General features: G+C 48.3%; 1 protein-coding gene across 9 annotated transcripts in view; it reads right to left on the reverse strand.

Moving 5' to 3' along the window:
• Nucleotides 1-2,218: 2,218 nt before the first annotated feature.
• The window catches only part of CRACR2A (calcium release activated channel regulator 2A), a 137,782-nt gene continuing 124,731 nt past the window's right edge, over nt 2,219-15,269 (reverse strand). For all 9 annotated transcript variants that reach the window (XM_011521034.4, NM_001144958.2, XM_006719021.4 and 6 more), the window contains 5 exons: nt 14,516-14,597; nt 14,327-14,441; nt 6,162-6,263; nt 3,845-3,921; nt 2,219-2,330 (listed from right to left, as the gene is read on the reverse strand). In XM_011521034.4, the coding sequence (XP_011519336.1) occupies nt 2,246-2,330; nt 3,845-3,921; nt 6,162-6,263; nt 14,327-14,441; nt 14,516-14,597 (461 nt within the window). In that variant the 3' untranslated portion in view covers nt 2,219-2,245. The remainder of the gene's footprint in view (nt 2,331-3,844; nt 3,922-6,161; nt 6,264-14,326; nt 14,442-14,515; nt 14,598-15,269) is intronic.

The raw sequence follows: 15,269 nt of genomic DNA on the forward strand, positions 1-15,269 counted from the left end.
CATGCCAGAAGGCCAGGCACTAGGTCACTAGGGCCACCCTTCCCTGCCTTAAACCTTGCATGGCCTGTTTCTAAATGGAAGAATGCAGTGGAAAGCAGGGGCAAGGAATTAGGAATAAAGACACTTGTGGGGTTAGGGAACCCCAGGAATGGTCTGTTTGCCCCATAAATCCCAATAGCTATATCTGCTTTCTGTCAAAAGCAGAAGAGTGAGCTTACTTCCTCCATGGCCACCATGATCTTCTATCCTTCCTTTCCCTTCCCGCACATGACACACACAACACACACGTGCATGCGCGCACACACACACACACACACACACACACATTGGAGGGCCACCTCTGGGTGACCCATGCATCCCCTCTCCCTGCCTCATCCTATTAGTGGGACCACCACCACTGCTCTTCCCTAGGGGAAGGGAGTTTCCTGTGAATTCTCTTTAACCTTGGACTGGGGTCCAGGGCCAGCCTATGATGGAAAATAAATATGTCATCCTGTGCATCTGAGCAAGAGCTCAAAGCATCGGATACCCCATCCCCTCATTTTACTGATGTGGTGAGGACCAAGGAGGGAGCGGGCTTGCTTAGGATCACGGAGCGCCTTCTGGTACCCAGTCCTCATTTTTGTTCCGCACCCTCCACGGGCTCTCTGGTTCCTGCAAGTGCTCAGTGAAAGACAGAAGTCTGCAAAAAAGAGGTAGGTACTTGCCTGGTGACCCAGAGAGCCTCTGACTGTTTTGGGAGTCTGGAAGGAGGCTATTGGAACGCCTTGAGAACTCTGGCCAGTGGCCTCTCCCCCATCCACGTGGCTGTGTGGGGTTGTCTTCAACTATCTTGTTGGAAGCCTGTGGACACTTTCTGCCCCTCTCCCTCTCTGTGTGCCCCACTTGGGTGTGGACCACCCACTTTCCTGTGGGGGCCTGGGTCTGCAGGCCCAGTGATTGGCAGTTGTCTTTGTAATAACTTTCATTCGACTTCCTACTCAGGGCAAGAGTGCTGTAACAGCTGGCTAGTGATGCCGGAGCTGGCTGGGAACCCACCACCACCCAGCTGCAGGAATCTCACGGGGCCCAGATCATTCCCCCAGTCCAAATGCCCTGTGCTATTGCAATCGGGGGTGCTGAAGCCAGCAGCTACATTCTGTTCACTTCTCAAACACCAGCAAAATGTCAACATCACAGCCACACTGAAAAAAAAATACAGTGTTCTGAAATAAAGTAAAAGAAAATAAAATGAAGTCAGTAACTATGGCCCTCGCGCTGGGCCCCACTGCCTGCATGTCAGTCTACCCTGTTAATCATCACGTATGATTTTTCAAAGATCTATTTTGAGAAACATTTAGAAAATGGCTTGTATATAGCTATATATGCCTCATTTATACCCTCCAGAAATGGTCGCTCTGTTTAGCGGCAGATGGCTTTTCTTCCACTAGTTCTCTTTTCATTTCTCAGTCAAAGTTAAGTAGGAAGTCAACCTACTCCCTAACCCCAGGCACACACTTATCACCCACAGTCCACCCTGGAGTCAGGGTTGTAGGTGGGGGGTGAGAAGGAAAGGCTGTGGGTTCTCCCTAAGGCACTGTTCCACAAAACCCAAGGGGACAAAGGCAGCGGGCATGGTGCTGAGAGGGAAGGCTCAAAGCTGGGATTAAGGAAAGAGCAGAGCCCCTGGGTAGGGGGTAGAATAGGATGTGGCTGCCCTGGTTTGCTGCAGTCAACAACTCGGGTATCTCAAGGTCCACGAAGCATGTATAAGACTATCCCTTTGGCCGCCGCAGAACAGGGGCCAAGAAAGATTAACTACCCCGGTGGCACCTGAGTGCTGTACCTTTGGCCTGCAGGAAGCCGCAAGTCGAGCCCTGCATAGTTGTCACGGCAACAGCAGTGCTGAGGCTCCTAAGGGCAAGGGGAGGAGAAGGGGGCGTGGAGAAGGCACGTGGTGGCTTTTCTGGAAAAGCCCATCTGTTTCTTTCCCCTAGGAAACTAAGTCGGGGAAAACAACAACAACAACAAAGCAGGGACAGGCATCTGGGGTCTAGAAAGAGAAAGGAGAGAAAAGACTCTGAGATGCTCCAAGAGCAGCTCTCCTGATGGGATGTGCTTCCCTTCCTTTTGGGGGAGGTGAGTGACTGACAAAGAAAAGGACTGGGCGGGCCCCGGTGGGTGGCATCTGTGCAGGAGCCGTGTGCAGGATCAGGGCAGGCTCTGTGACCTCAGGTTTGCTGGGGGCAGTCCTTGTAGGACCCTATCAGCCACAGCAGGATTTCTTCTTAGCAGGGTGGCCGACCTGAATGGTGTCCTCTCTCACTGTGTCTTCTTGCTCCTTGAGGAACCTGGGAGAGGGGAAGAGATCGTGTCAGTGATGGAGAAGTTGATAGGCCCAGGGGCTGGCAACCTGGACAAGCTACCCTCAGGTTACAGGTCATCTGGGCCATATGGAGAGAACCCACCCTCACCACGGCATCAGAGAGAGTCCTGAACATCCCCCCCTGGACAGTACAGGTGCACAGCTGTAATTGTAAAGCCAGAGAGTTTAGTTGACATGGATCCTTCAAGACACCTCCTCCAGGAAGCCTCTCCTGATCCTCTAGGTAAGCCTAAGTGCCCCTGACAGCATCTGACCCTTCCTCTGTCATGACCCCATCACCCAGTGTCACAATGCGTGACTTCCCTGGCTGTCTCCCTCGGCAGAAAATGAGTTGCTTGGGACTGAGACTTATCTTTTGTCTCTGTGCCTCTGCAGCTTATCACAGTAACCAGCACACAGGTGAGGCTCCAAAATATACTGATGGGTCGTAACCTCTGCAGTAGGGCTGTGCCATGTGGCCACAGCTCCAGATTAATTGTAGGAGGTGAGGAATTAAAAATAATGGTAAACACCTGTCTCTTCTCTATACTTTCCAAACGCTTTTGCGTTACGCACCTCCTTTGATTCTCTCAACAACCTGTGAGTGGGCAGGAAAGGAAGGTGTGATTGATGTTCCTACCTTCCTGACAAAGCTCAGAGAGGCAGGGCATTTGCCCAGGGAGTCAGGGGCAGAGAAAAGCCTAGAATGTTTCCTTGTGATACTCCATAACCCTATAACCTCGCCAATGCATAGAGGAGTTGTTCTGGGCTCTTAATTACTCAAAGAAAAATATTTTTAAGTGCCCCAGAATGAGTGCTGAGCACAAAATGGGCTCTGTTAAGTATTTGCTGGACGGATGAATAGATGGAATGAAATGAAGGCCTAGATGGATGAATGAATGAGTGAATTCTTAAGTATCAGAAATGAGTCCCAGCATGGTTTTGTTGTTTAAATTTTTGGTGTAGGCAGGGCCTTAAGGAACCAGTCTTTTCATGCTACCAGCACCATTACCTTGGTTACCTCCCATTGATTTCCCATCACAGCCCCTCTTCTTTCTGGTTTCTACACCCACTCCTTCCTCCCACACCCAGGAACTCATATTATAACCCATTCTTGCCTCCAGCTGGCTTCCAGCTAGTCCCTGCTAAGACATCAGCCAGTGCTGAGGGGCCTCTGATCTGGCCTTCCCCCAGAAGGATTGGCATTTAAAAAGAGCATCCCTAGGAAAAGGCAGCCTTTAAGACTAAGAAGAAGACTGCAATGGGGGTGACAGGTAGGGATGCTTTCTTTCCCAACATCATTGTTTCAGAAAGCTGCTCCTGATGTTGCAATCCCATACAAAGGCCCAGGACCCCGTTGCCTATACTCAGAGGGCTCTGGCCAATAGGGAGGAAGGGGGGTCAGAGGTGTGGCCTGGGTGGAGGGAAACACGGTGCCTCCCTGAAGGCAGACACAGCTGGACACAGCAGTTACTGCACCTGGGGAGCACATCTCTTTACCTGGCCAGATGGAGCAGGGACTCTTTGGTGTTGTGACCAGAGTAGGCGCTGCATTCATAGAAGATCAGATTGTTCTCCTAGAATCATAAAACAGAGCGAATACAAGAGTATTGGAGTGAGAGGGGATTGTGGGGGGTGGTGGGAGAGCCCCCTTGTGCATCTACCTACAGCCTTCACTTCCTCTCGCAGCCCCTTGACCTTCCTCATAATCCTTCCCCACTCTGTACATGGCTGATTTCTGTCTCCACAGCCTCCCTGACAATGCAAGCTCTGTAACCATCTCCCAGGTGAGCTATAACAATTGTAAAACAATGAAACCATACGCTGTCTTAGTTCCTCTTTACACTTTCCCAAATTCCTCTCAAGTACACACATGCTCATTCCAGGTTACACCAGCCCTGTGATTCAGGCAAAGACACAAAGGCCAGGGTGGGCAATATTCTTCCCCCTTTCACAGGCAGATAAGCTGTAGTGAGAGAGGGCACTTGGCTGGCTTGTTCAGTCCCACATTGAGTTAATGGCAGAGCTCCTTGCAGCATGCTTTTCCCAAGACAGTGGCATTCCATAGGCCTTGGGGACAGGTGTCATGAGGCACTCCGGTAGGAATTCTCTTTCGCACCAGTTAATTAATACTCTAGCTGCCCTGGCTGTCAGCACTGGTGCACCAGACTGGCCGTCAGCTCATTAGGATGAGGTTGTGCTGCCTGCATGGTGCGGGAGCCCTTGGTTAAGGCTCATCATATTCCATTGATCACTCCCATTAATAGATTACTGGTGTCATTATGACAATGCTGATGGCACAGGGCCCTGGCTTTTAGATGGCCTGTTCTTGGAGGCTGATGCCCTGAGGGGATGCAGGCCAGTTGAGTGAGGACAGTTCTGTGGCTGTAGCTCAGGAGGCTCTGCCATGCTCCCAGTGCAGCTTTCCCCATCTACACCCACAGGCCAGCTCGACCCTCTGCCCTTTTCACCCAGCCCCATGGGCTCTATTTCTCCTTGTCTGCATTTCTCTCAGATCTGCAATCTCTTGGGTCAGTCTGTCAAAGAGTAGAAGTTCCATGGGGTGGGAATAGTGGGGAGGGGAGAGAAGGACATAGGACTTAGAACTGGAAGACATGATTTGCCTTCCTGCTTTGAGTTCTGACCCCACCTCGGGTGAGCTGTGATAATACGAATGTATCACTTAACTCCCGAGTCTTAGTTTTTTTTTCACTAACAAAAAAAAAAAAGAAAAGAAAAGAGAATGGATAGAATCTTTGGGTCCAGGTATATTTTGAAATCCAGAATTTTCTGAATCTTAGAAAGGTAATACATGTATATACCATATATTATATAATACCCTCAGTGGATTTCAGACAGCACTCTATAATCAAATATATTACTATTTCTTCAGTGAAACCTTTGACTATTCACTCAAAGTGAGGTTACAACCATGAATAGCCTCGTGTCATTTCTGGTCAGATTTTTCTGCCAGATAAAATACAAAACAACCCTTTCTGTTTTCAGAGCTTTTTGGATTTCGGAATTGTGGACATGTAACTGTCTAGTGACCCTCCATGTAGATACCTGCCAGGCCCTTCCTCCTCCTTTTTCCTTGAGTCTTACCATCTGTGCTCGTTCTCCCAGGCTCTGAACTCATGAAACGCTGTTTAGGATGAGCATGCAAAGAATTACAGAATCATGGGGCTGGTAAGCACCCCAACCTCCCAGACACACAGTTCCATGAAAACAAACTCTGAGGCAGTAAAAGAAGCCAAGGAACCACATTTTGTTGCCTGATTTCCATTAAGCCCCATTGATTCCATTTTTGAGCAAGGGGCTCCATGCTTTTTAATGGTAGGTTTTCCAGTGTGTCTCCTGAGTTTATCTTGAGTTCATGACTTTGAGGCTCAATCCTGACAAAAAGGATGAACTCTCTAACACAGTGGTCTGCAGAAGAATACACTGCTTTGCAGAGAGTGAGTTTTTCATCCCTGGGGGTGATCAAGTGGAAATGCAGATTGGAGGGGGATTGAAATAAGTAAACTATTGCTATCTTAGAATGTATACTTCTGAGTTACAAGGAAGGGACTTTAGGATAATTCCCCATGCCCTAGTGGTCCCTAACCAACTCCATCTTGCAACCTGTGGCTTTCTATGCAAAGTTCTACATGCACAGGAGCTGAGCCATTCCCAGGATACCAAGACACCCATGTTTTCCAGTTGCTTCCTTCCCATGGCACTTCCAGAGAAAGTCCCCACCAAGGCTCTTGGGCACTTGCCCAACTTCCCTCGGGGTCACACTCTGTCCAGAGAGATGGAAATGCTTGCTCTTTACCGTGGCAAGCTGCTCTCCGAGGCCCCGGGGGACTTCCCGCTCCTTCTCGTTGTCAAGCTTATTACCCAGCAGAAGAACAGGCACCCGGTCTCCCACAGCTTCCTGCAGAACAGAAAATGTTTTCAACTGAGAGGGGTGTCATAGGATTGCCCAGAGGGCAGGCTAACAATGCCGGCTGGACAGATGGGACCTCGCTTGAGAATCCCCTGCTGCCATAAAAGGTGAGGCCGTAACAGAGTCATCCTGAAAGCAGAAAACAGCCGCCTTCTCCAAGAGCCTCAGTTTATCATGCTTTTGCAAGGTGCCTGAGGCCTGCCTGTGGTGTCTCCTAGTCCCTGTGTGTGCAATGACCGCTCCCCCTTCACGATGCTCCTTGGATCTTAGATGGAACAGCAGGCCCCCCAAGGTGTGCTGGATGAGGGGACAGTTGATGCCAACAGGCTGCATGCCTCCTTCCAGAGCTTACAGCACCCTGAGGGCGTGCCTAATTGGCCAGGCTTAGTCCGATGGACCAAGGCCATGAATGCCCCATGGTTTGGAGTTGTTCTGGAGGCTGCTTTGATTAGAAACTGCATCACTAGAGGCCTCCTGATTGCACATAAGCTTCTGAGGGTTGGATCCAAATCTGCCTCATGGTCTTGCGCCCACAAGGCTCCATAAATGACTGCCATGTGCCTTGCTGGAGGCTGGCACCACAGACCCCTGTCACTGGGCGCTTTGGCTCTGAAGAAAGCCCTGTGTAAGAAGGAACACTGTGGCCATAGCAGCTGCACTGCTTGGGCCAGAAGTCACAGGTTTATTCAAGGTATCACATTGTTTACTTCCCCAATGGCTGTGGCTTACCAGCCAGGGGCCTGCTTCCCGGGTCTCCACCTCCTCCCTGGTGAAAGGGGCACCGTGTGTGTCTCTCCTGAGGGCGCCCAAAGGGCCCGGGACCACCGACTGCCATTCAGTGAGTAAATGTGGTAATGTGCACATTGAAGAAGGTTGTTATTTTTACTTAAATATTTAATTAGGGGCTTTTAATCATAATTTAGTAACAAATAGTTATTCATTGTAGCTAAATGTTTTACTAAATAGAGGGACCTGTGGGATAACAGAAGCTAATAAGCAGTTACAGTTTTGCCAATACTTTAGCTGTTTTACTTGAGCATTTCAAATAAATGTCCAAAGTCCATCTTACAGATATACCAATTTTAAATTTAAATGCTATTATGTTTGAAATTAAGCCTCAATGTTTCCTTAATCTGTGCATTCGTTTTTACTGCCATTTAATAGGGGAAAAAAATTCTTATTTAACAAATGAGAAAGTTAAGGCTCAGAGAATCAAAAAGAACATTCAACACCATAAGCACTGAATTATGAGAACTCTTTAGTATATGGGTCCTCACTTCTCCAACCTTTTCCTCTAGATTCTTATTTCCAATCAAGTCTCTGCTACTTAGTATCTTATTAACTGGAACCCTCTAAAAATGGTATCTATTGGTCAGATGGTAACTTGTGTTTGCAATGATGACTCAAAGGCGCTACAAGATCTTACAGTGTCTTCTGACCCATCAAAAATAGATTAAATTCTGGACACTGCAGTTGATGTCCTAAGTGGATTGTACATATTCCAACTACTTGAAAGTGAGAAAGCCACTGATGGCATATATGGAACCCTGTGGCCCCCTATTAGCTAGAGCGTTCACTAATGGGAACACCCCCTCCTCTGACCGTGCTGTGCCACGGGATACTTGTGCGAAGAGCTTTTCACGGAAAGGGAAGAAAGGAGGAGGAAGCAGGGAAATGGGCCAAGCGGCTTGCTGTTTAGAGCACATGGGAGAGAGATATTTGTAGATTTATGTGTGAGGAATGATTAAGGCTTGTGGGATTTCTTGACATGGAAACTCTGAAAATATGAGCATCAGACTTGAAATCCCAGGGCAGAATTCTACCCCAGGTTTTGGTATTATTTGGAATGGGCACTGGCTTCTGTTTCCTCGCTTGCAGAGGGGATGATGGATACTGAATGACCCAATAGGATGGGGTAGGGAATGGGTCATAAGCCCAACATCTGGGTCCTATGCACCATAAACAGCAATGGTGCCTCTTGCGTCCTGGGAAAAGAAAGGGCAGGTTTCTTCTTTTTTTTTTTTTTTGGGAGGCCGAGGTGGGTGGATCATGAGGTCAGGAGTTCAAGACCAGCCTGGCCAAGATGGTGAAACCCTGTCTCTACTAAAAATACAAAATTTAGCCAGGTGTGGTGGTGGGCACCTGTAGTCCCAGCTACTTGGGAGGCTGAGGCAGAGAATTGCTTCAACCTGGGAGGCGGAGCTTGCAGTGAGCCAAGATTGTGCCACTGCACTCCAGCCTCAGTGACAGAGAGAGACTCTGTCAAAAAAAAAAAAAAAAAAAAAAAAAAAAAAAAACCAAAGCAATTCCTGGATATAAAAATAAAGGAGCTTAGAAGGAGCAGAAAAAAAAAATTTAAAAGCAAAGCACTCAGCAGGAGCTGCGGTTTCTGTTCTTTGTATTGTTCCTCTCTTACACAGCCACTCTGGACAACTGGCTTCCCTGCAGGGACCCTGGCCTGCCACCGATAAAGGAGAAACAGACTCATCTCCAAATATTTGGCAAAAATAAATGAGAATACCCATAAGACCAGGGAGTGTGCTAACTATCACAGTCAGTCACCATCACCCTGGCCCAAGGTCATCAGTCTCTGGCACAGGGGCAGGGAGAGGAGCTGGTATTGGGGTAGGTGTCTCATGGTCCTCTCTGACTTTGACCCCAAAAGTCTGGAACTATCTGTCTAAACTTTACACCTTTCTCATACCTAACTAGGTTTTCAGCCTGCATACCACTCAGCACAAGATGTTCAAAATTACCTCCTAGATGAAGCAACACCTCCTTCAAGCCCCTAGGGCTTTGGTGAACAGGTCTCAGGTCTACTCAAACTCTGTTGTCTTGAGACTGTGAGAGATGTTGGTAAAAATCCCATCAGCATGACAGGTTGGAGTGAAGTCATCTTAGCTCCTTCATCAGGCACACAATCTCTCTTTAGGAGATGTGGGTTCTGCCCTAGCTCTGTCACCATCTCTCCATGTGACTCATCTGAGTCTCTCCTCTTTTCTGTGTCTCTCTGTTCCAAAGCCAGGTTCTGTTCTATGACCCTCTAACAGAGAGCCTTCCCTCCACCTTCAGTTATTTCAGCTGCCTTTCTGTGAACTTGAGCTTGTTGGAAGACAGACTTGTTGAAATTCAAAAGATCACCCATCTCTGACTTTAAATAACAAGAGCTGTCAACTTGGAGCAGTGGATTGGCATTCAGCTCAGAATGTGCAGCTGCTGGGTTTGGTTGGTTGTTGCCTATGTGCATGTGTGTGTGTGTGTGTGCGTGCGTTTTAATATCTATTTGCTAGGAGGCATGAAAAAGCACTTAGCTGGGATAGTGCTGCTATTTCTCTGGAGCTAGAGCAAAAATTTTTTCAGCACATTAAAGCATGCAGTTATGCTAAGAAAAAAAATGCCTGCAAAATTATATCTTGGGGGTTTCCATATTTATCCATCCCCTGGACTATGAGTCAAAACAAGATTTATTTGTGTGGTTCATTTTAAACTGCCAGCACTTCAAGCTCAACTTGGAACGTGGAGAAAAAAAAATCAAACTGCTATTTTTTGCACCATGCTGTACATTGTCACCAATGACAAAGATCGCAGAATGAGGTTTAGCTAGCAGCCCAGGAAGGGAGAGGGAAGTGGGCCAGGACCCCTTGAGCTGAAGAACTGTTCTGCTTTGAGAGAGAAGCAAGAAGGACTGAAAAGTAAATGAACACCTGCTTTTCAGGAGCAGATTTCAGCCATGGACCACAGGACAAGAGAGAAGCAGTGCAGTGTGGCAAAGCCCTCGCTTCTAGATCGGGTGGTGCTGCTGACAAGTGTGGGCGCCTTTGGGAAAGTCACTTCCTCTTTTTGGATCATAGTTTTTCTTACTTATAAAACAAGAGGTTGCATTAGATTAATCTCCACGTTTTTTTCCAGCTCGGAAACACTGGTCTATTCGGCTTAACTCCGCCAATTCTATTTCACTTCCTCGACTCACATGCCCAGGAATCTAGTGCCATCAGAACGACAAGAGGCTCTAAACAAGAAGCTCAGCATCCCAGGACTGCAGACACTGGGGGCCAGCAATCCGGCTCTGGGGGAAATACCAGCCCATACAGGCTTGTACAGGCTGGCGTTCTAATTTCTATTTTCTCTACCCGACACAGGCCCCAGAGTCTTCTGATGTCCAGTTTGTCCCATGGCCACACGTGGGGCCTTAGAGCCTGACTAGTTTCTTTTCCAGATTGGAATGGTTAAACCAATTCTACCCAATTGAGATAAGAAATTGGGGGTGGGTTGGAAATGCCGAGTTGGCCGAAAGACTGCCTGCGGTGACTTCCTATAAGGCACTCAGGAGAATCGGCACAGAGGGCATCTGCTGGGCCTCTTCTGCAGAAGGCCTGCAGGCAAGGTAAAGTTGCCTAGACTGGGTGAAATAGCAGAACAAGGGCAAGGCCACAGTCTTCCCATCTCATCAAGCAGTGCTGGTGCTCTCTTGCACCAAAGGATTTTGGTTCCCTCTGGGCTGGAAGGACCCTCCAGAATCTCCTCATCCACACACATTCCTGCTCCGTCTTGGCCTCCCAGAGAGATAGTCAAATGCCATCATACACTGTAGAAATTTAGGGGCCAGGAGGGAGCATTTGGTCTGCTGCCTTGTTGAATGATTGGCCAAAGTTTCATGGCCAGGAAGTGATCAAGATGGGATAGTAAGAACTTCCTTTCAGGGAACTCCACTACCTCCCCCGAGCATCTGTTCCCACCCCACACAACCTCTTCCAAGAGTCTTTCCCATGCAGGCATGTACAGCAACTGAAGCCCTTTTTTCTTGTATGCTTTTCAGGTTGAGGGAGGAAGGGGGACTGTGAACAGCTGGCCACCATTCACTTACTAATAAGGCTTCAGAACCTTGAAGACTGTTATTAAAGCTCCCCCTCCACCCTCCCTTCTCCAGGCGAGGGAGTTGGTAAAGTGCTCAGAGCTCTTTGGAAAAATAAGGTGCTCCACAAATATAAGGTACTTATTATTTTCAGTTCCCCTCAGATCAAATTAGGTGTCAAGTTTTAATCTATCACCTGACACCTCTGATTGCTGGTTGCCAAGGCAGAATGACTTAGCTTTTCAAGAATCTAGAGAATAATTGCATTTATGATGCCACCGTTCCACACCTTCAACACACACTCTGCCATTTGACACAGCCTCCTGCACTTGTTTCTGAAACTCTGTGCTGCTGAACTGAACGCATTGCCTGGTCTATCATACTGAGTCCCAGAGCTCCTAGTGTGTGCTGGACATGCCGCAGATGTGTAGTAAAACCTTGGTGAGGGGTCACAGGCATCTTCGGAAATGACTTAGAGCTCTTCTACTCACAGGGTCATCCCTGGACCACCAGCATCAGCCTCACATGAGAACTTGCTAGAAACACAGAATCTCAGACCCCAGTCCCGACCTGCTGAAGCAGAGACTGCATTTTAAGAAGTTCCCCAGGAGAGTCCTATATATGTTAGGGTTCAAGGAGCGCTTGTTTAGCCGGGAACAGTGGTGGCTGAGAATCAAAATTCCCTGGGGAGCTGTTCGTTTTATTTTTTATTTGCAGGCTCTGAACCACTCTGGGAGAGAAGGCCCTGGCCCCTGGCCTCTGTTCCCTTTAAAAGCTCCACGTGTGATCCTGATGTTCACCCAGGTTTAGAATAATCAATTAGAGCTTAAATGTACCTTTGGCTAATATCTTAAAAAAAAGGAAAAACTCAAACTAGAAATCATATAGAAAAGCCCTGTTTACACATAAGCAATTCTGATTTAACTATGTATAGATTTGCCATCTCAGCCAGGCTTCCCGAGCCCACAGACACACCAAGGCTTCCGTGGGCCTCTTAGCAGCCACACGCCGCTGATGATTTCAGCCCCGTCCCACAAAGCAACGTCTCTGGAGGATGACTAAACTGATGCTTCAAGCTGTGATGATGGTCTTCTGAGATGTCTTCACCTCCACCACCAAACTGTTCCACCTCTTCTTCTAGATCCCAGGCTCTGTGCAAAACAGGAGCCTTAGAAACGACACCCCCTAATGACAGCAGAGAGCGTAGTTCCCCAAATTTGTCACCATCCATTCCCATTAATCCCAGACCACCTGGAGGCTTAGCCCTAGCACACACCAAAATTTAGATACTGGGGGACAACTAAATGTCTGTGAAAAGGACAGGTGACCCTGGAGAAGTTAGGCCTTCCCTTTCTTCACTTTTGAATGAGATGGCCATACTAGATGGGAGATTTTCAAAGGGAAACTCTTTTGTCTAACAAAATTGTAGCTGACCTCCAATATGCTGAAAAAGGCAAGGCAGCTCTGACGGAGATGGGGGATGAGGGACCTGGATCCGTGACCACTAAACCTTCCCTTGCCGCTCCCCAATCTCTGGGGAATGTCAGTCTGATTCCAGGGCTCCAAGGAAGAGAGTCTGGAAACCCCTGGATTAGGTAATCCCTAACATCCCTCCTGGTGCTTAACTTCTGCAAAGAAGATAAATCTGCTTGGTGCTGCCAACAACAACAACAAAAGTAAAAAAAAGAACAGAAGAGAAAGATCGTGTCGTAAACTCCAAAGTTTAGAAAGGAATTACTGCTGGATTCACCCATACCATTTGCTTCCATTATTAGTTTGGTGTACAGGCAATCTACTACCTACATTTCAAAACTTGCATTTTCTCATTTGTAAGTGCGTCAGGCACAGTAATTTTGAGAAATAACAGGTAGTAGGCAAATTCTTGAGAAACCCTTGAATCTGGCTTCCATTTTGTTCCTTATTTTTCTTGGTAATCAGAAGGATGCAGATTAACAAAAGACAGACGGGTGACCCAGACATGCAAAACTACAGAGAAACAGATTTGGGTGAAAGGGATCATGGATCTTAGGGCCAAAAGGGTCAAAGAAATGGACAACTCCAAGAGTCTGCCTTCATAGCAATGTGGTATCCATTCATTCATCCAGGAGTTGTTGGTCTCATGCAAAGCATCCAGGTTATAGCAACGAAGATGCAGCTTCTGTTCTTAGGCAGCACGGAGTCCAGTGGGAGACACAGGCCAGTAAATAAGCAATTTGTTGCAGCATGATAAATATGTGATGGGATATGCAAGGTTTTATGGGCTTGGAGCAGAGAGCTGAACATAAGCTTCATGAGGGCAGGAGCTTTGTCTCTTTTATTCACTGCTAGGATTCCCAGGCTCTAGAATAGTGCCTGCCGGTGTTTTGAACAAATACGTGAACAAACCATGAATCCTGCTGGTGGAAGGGGCGGGACATCCTGCTTGGCTGTTCTGTGAAGGAATCAGCCGAGGCCTGGCAAAAAGCAATTTGTAGCTTGTCCACACTGGCAGTGGCCTTGAGAAGCCTGCACTGGGGTGGTGGAAACACTAATGAAAAAAGCATGTACAAAACGACATACTGCAAGTAGGAATCATAAACATAGAGTCTCCCAGATAATTCAGAATGCAAAGATAACACAGTTGCTCTTGGGCCCTGCCAAGACTCTTGATTTTGAGGTGAGCCTGGAGCCCTCACATTCTGGATCAACCTCCCCTTGTGTGAAGAGCTGTGACAGAGGCCCCCAAACATTGCATGGTGTGGCTCCCGGGCAGGGCATAGCTGGGCCTACTGGAGCTGGAAAGACTCAGGGGATGGGGAGAGACGCTGGTGAGAATGAGGGAAGAATCTGGTTGTGACTCAAACACTGATTTCTCCAGGACCCTTCCTTGACACTCCACTGTGTCCCCTCCCCCAATCCAGTCCCACTCAATCATGGCCCAGCAATGACACAGCTACTGGCATAATCTGGATTTTCAGTGTCCCTCTCTCCATGAGGGCAGGGACTGTGTCTGTCTTGTTCACTTCTGGGTCCCCAGGAACTGGCCTGGTACTGGGAACCCAGACGAACAGAGGAACACATGCCTGCATCAGTTTGTTCCTGGAAAAGGCAAGTTCCGAATCAGATTTTGAAAATGCAGAGGCCCACGTGGGAGATGGACAGAGAAGAAAAAAGAAGCCACAGTCAAGCCTAAATGCTCCTAGGAAGGTCGCCAGCTCACCTCCACGCTGCTCAGCCACCGCCGGACCGACAGGAACGACTGCTTGTCTGTGAGATCGTACATGACGATGACACCATCTGCCTTTCTGAAGAACTGCTGGGTGATGCACCGGTACCTGCCACAGAAGGGCCACGGGTCAGGCATGCACGGCCTTCCCTCTGGAGCCCAGAACTTCGGGCAGCTCCTCACCTCTCCTGCCCAGCCGTGTCCCACAGCTGCAGGGCCACCTGAGAGTTGTCCACATTCAACGTCTTCACACGGTAATCAATGCCTGCAGGGTGAAATGGGCCTGTCAGGGCTGCCCTGGGCCAGGGGCACCTCACTTCCAAATCAGGAAACAATGCTTCCAACATCTGAAATCACATCAGGCCCAAGGTGACAACCCTCCATGTGCAGCTCGTGGGAGGCAAAATGGAGAAAAGAACAGAGCACTGGATGGGGAGGCATGGGACCTCAGCTCTGGTCCTGTCTCTGCCACTTATTAGCTGTGGAACATTGATCAAATCACTTAACCACTCTGAACTGTGGGCTCTTCACTGTAATACAAGCCATACACTCTTTCTTTCCCTCCCTCCCTCCCTCCCTCTCTCCTTCCCTCCCTCTCTCCTTCCCTCTCTCTCTCTTTCCCTCCCTCTCTCCCTCTCTCCTTCCCTCCCTCTCTCCTTCCCTCTCTCTTTCCCTCCCTCCCTCCCTTCCTTCACCCTTCCTCCCTCCCTCTCCCCCAACTCTCTCTTTCTTTCTCTCTTTCTTTCTCTCTCTCTCTTTCTCTCTTCCTCTCTTCCTTCCTTTCTCTCTTTCTTTCTTTCTTTCCTTCTTTCCTAAAATTCTTTCAGAGGCCCCCTAGTAAAATTCAAATGTCCTAGGGGTATGGCCTCCATCAACCAATCCAAAGGTATGTGGAGGAGGAGGAAGAAGAAGGAGAGGAGGAGGAATAGGAGGAGGA

This window comes from Homo sapiens, chromosome 12 (assembly GCF_000001405.40).
Source record: "Homo sapiens chromosome 12, GRCh38.p14 Primary Assembly".
Taxonomy (NCBI): Eukaryota; Metazoa; Chordata; class Mammalia; order Primates; family Hominidae; genus Homo; species Homo sapiens.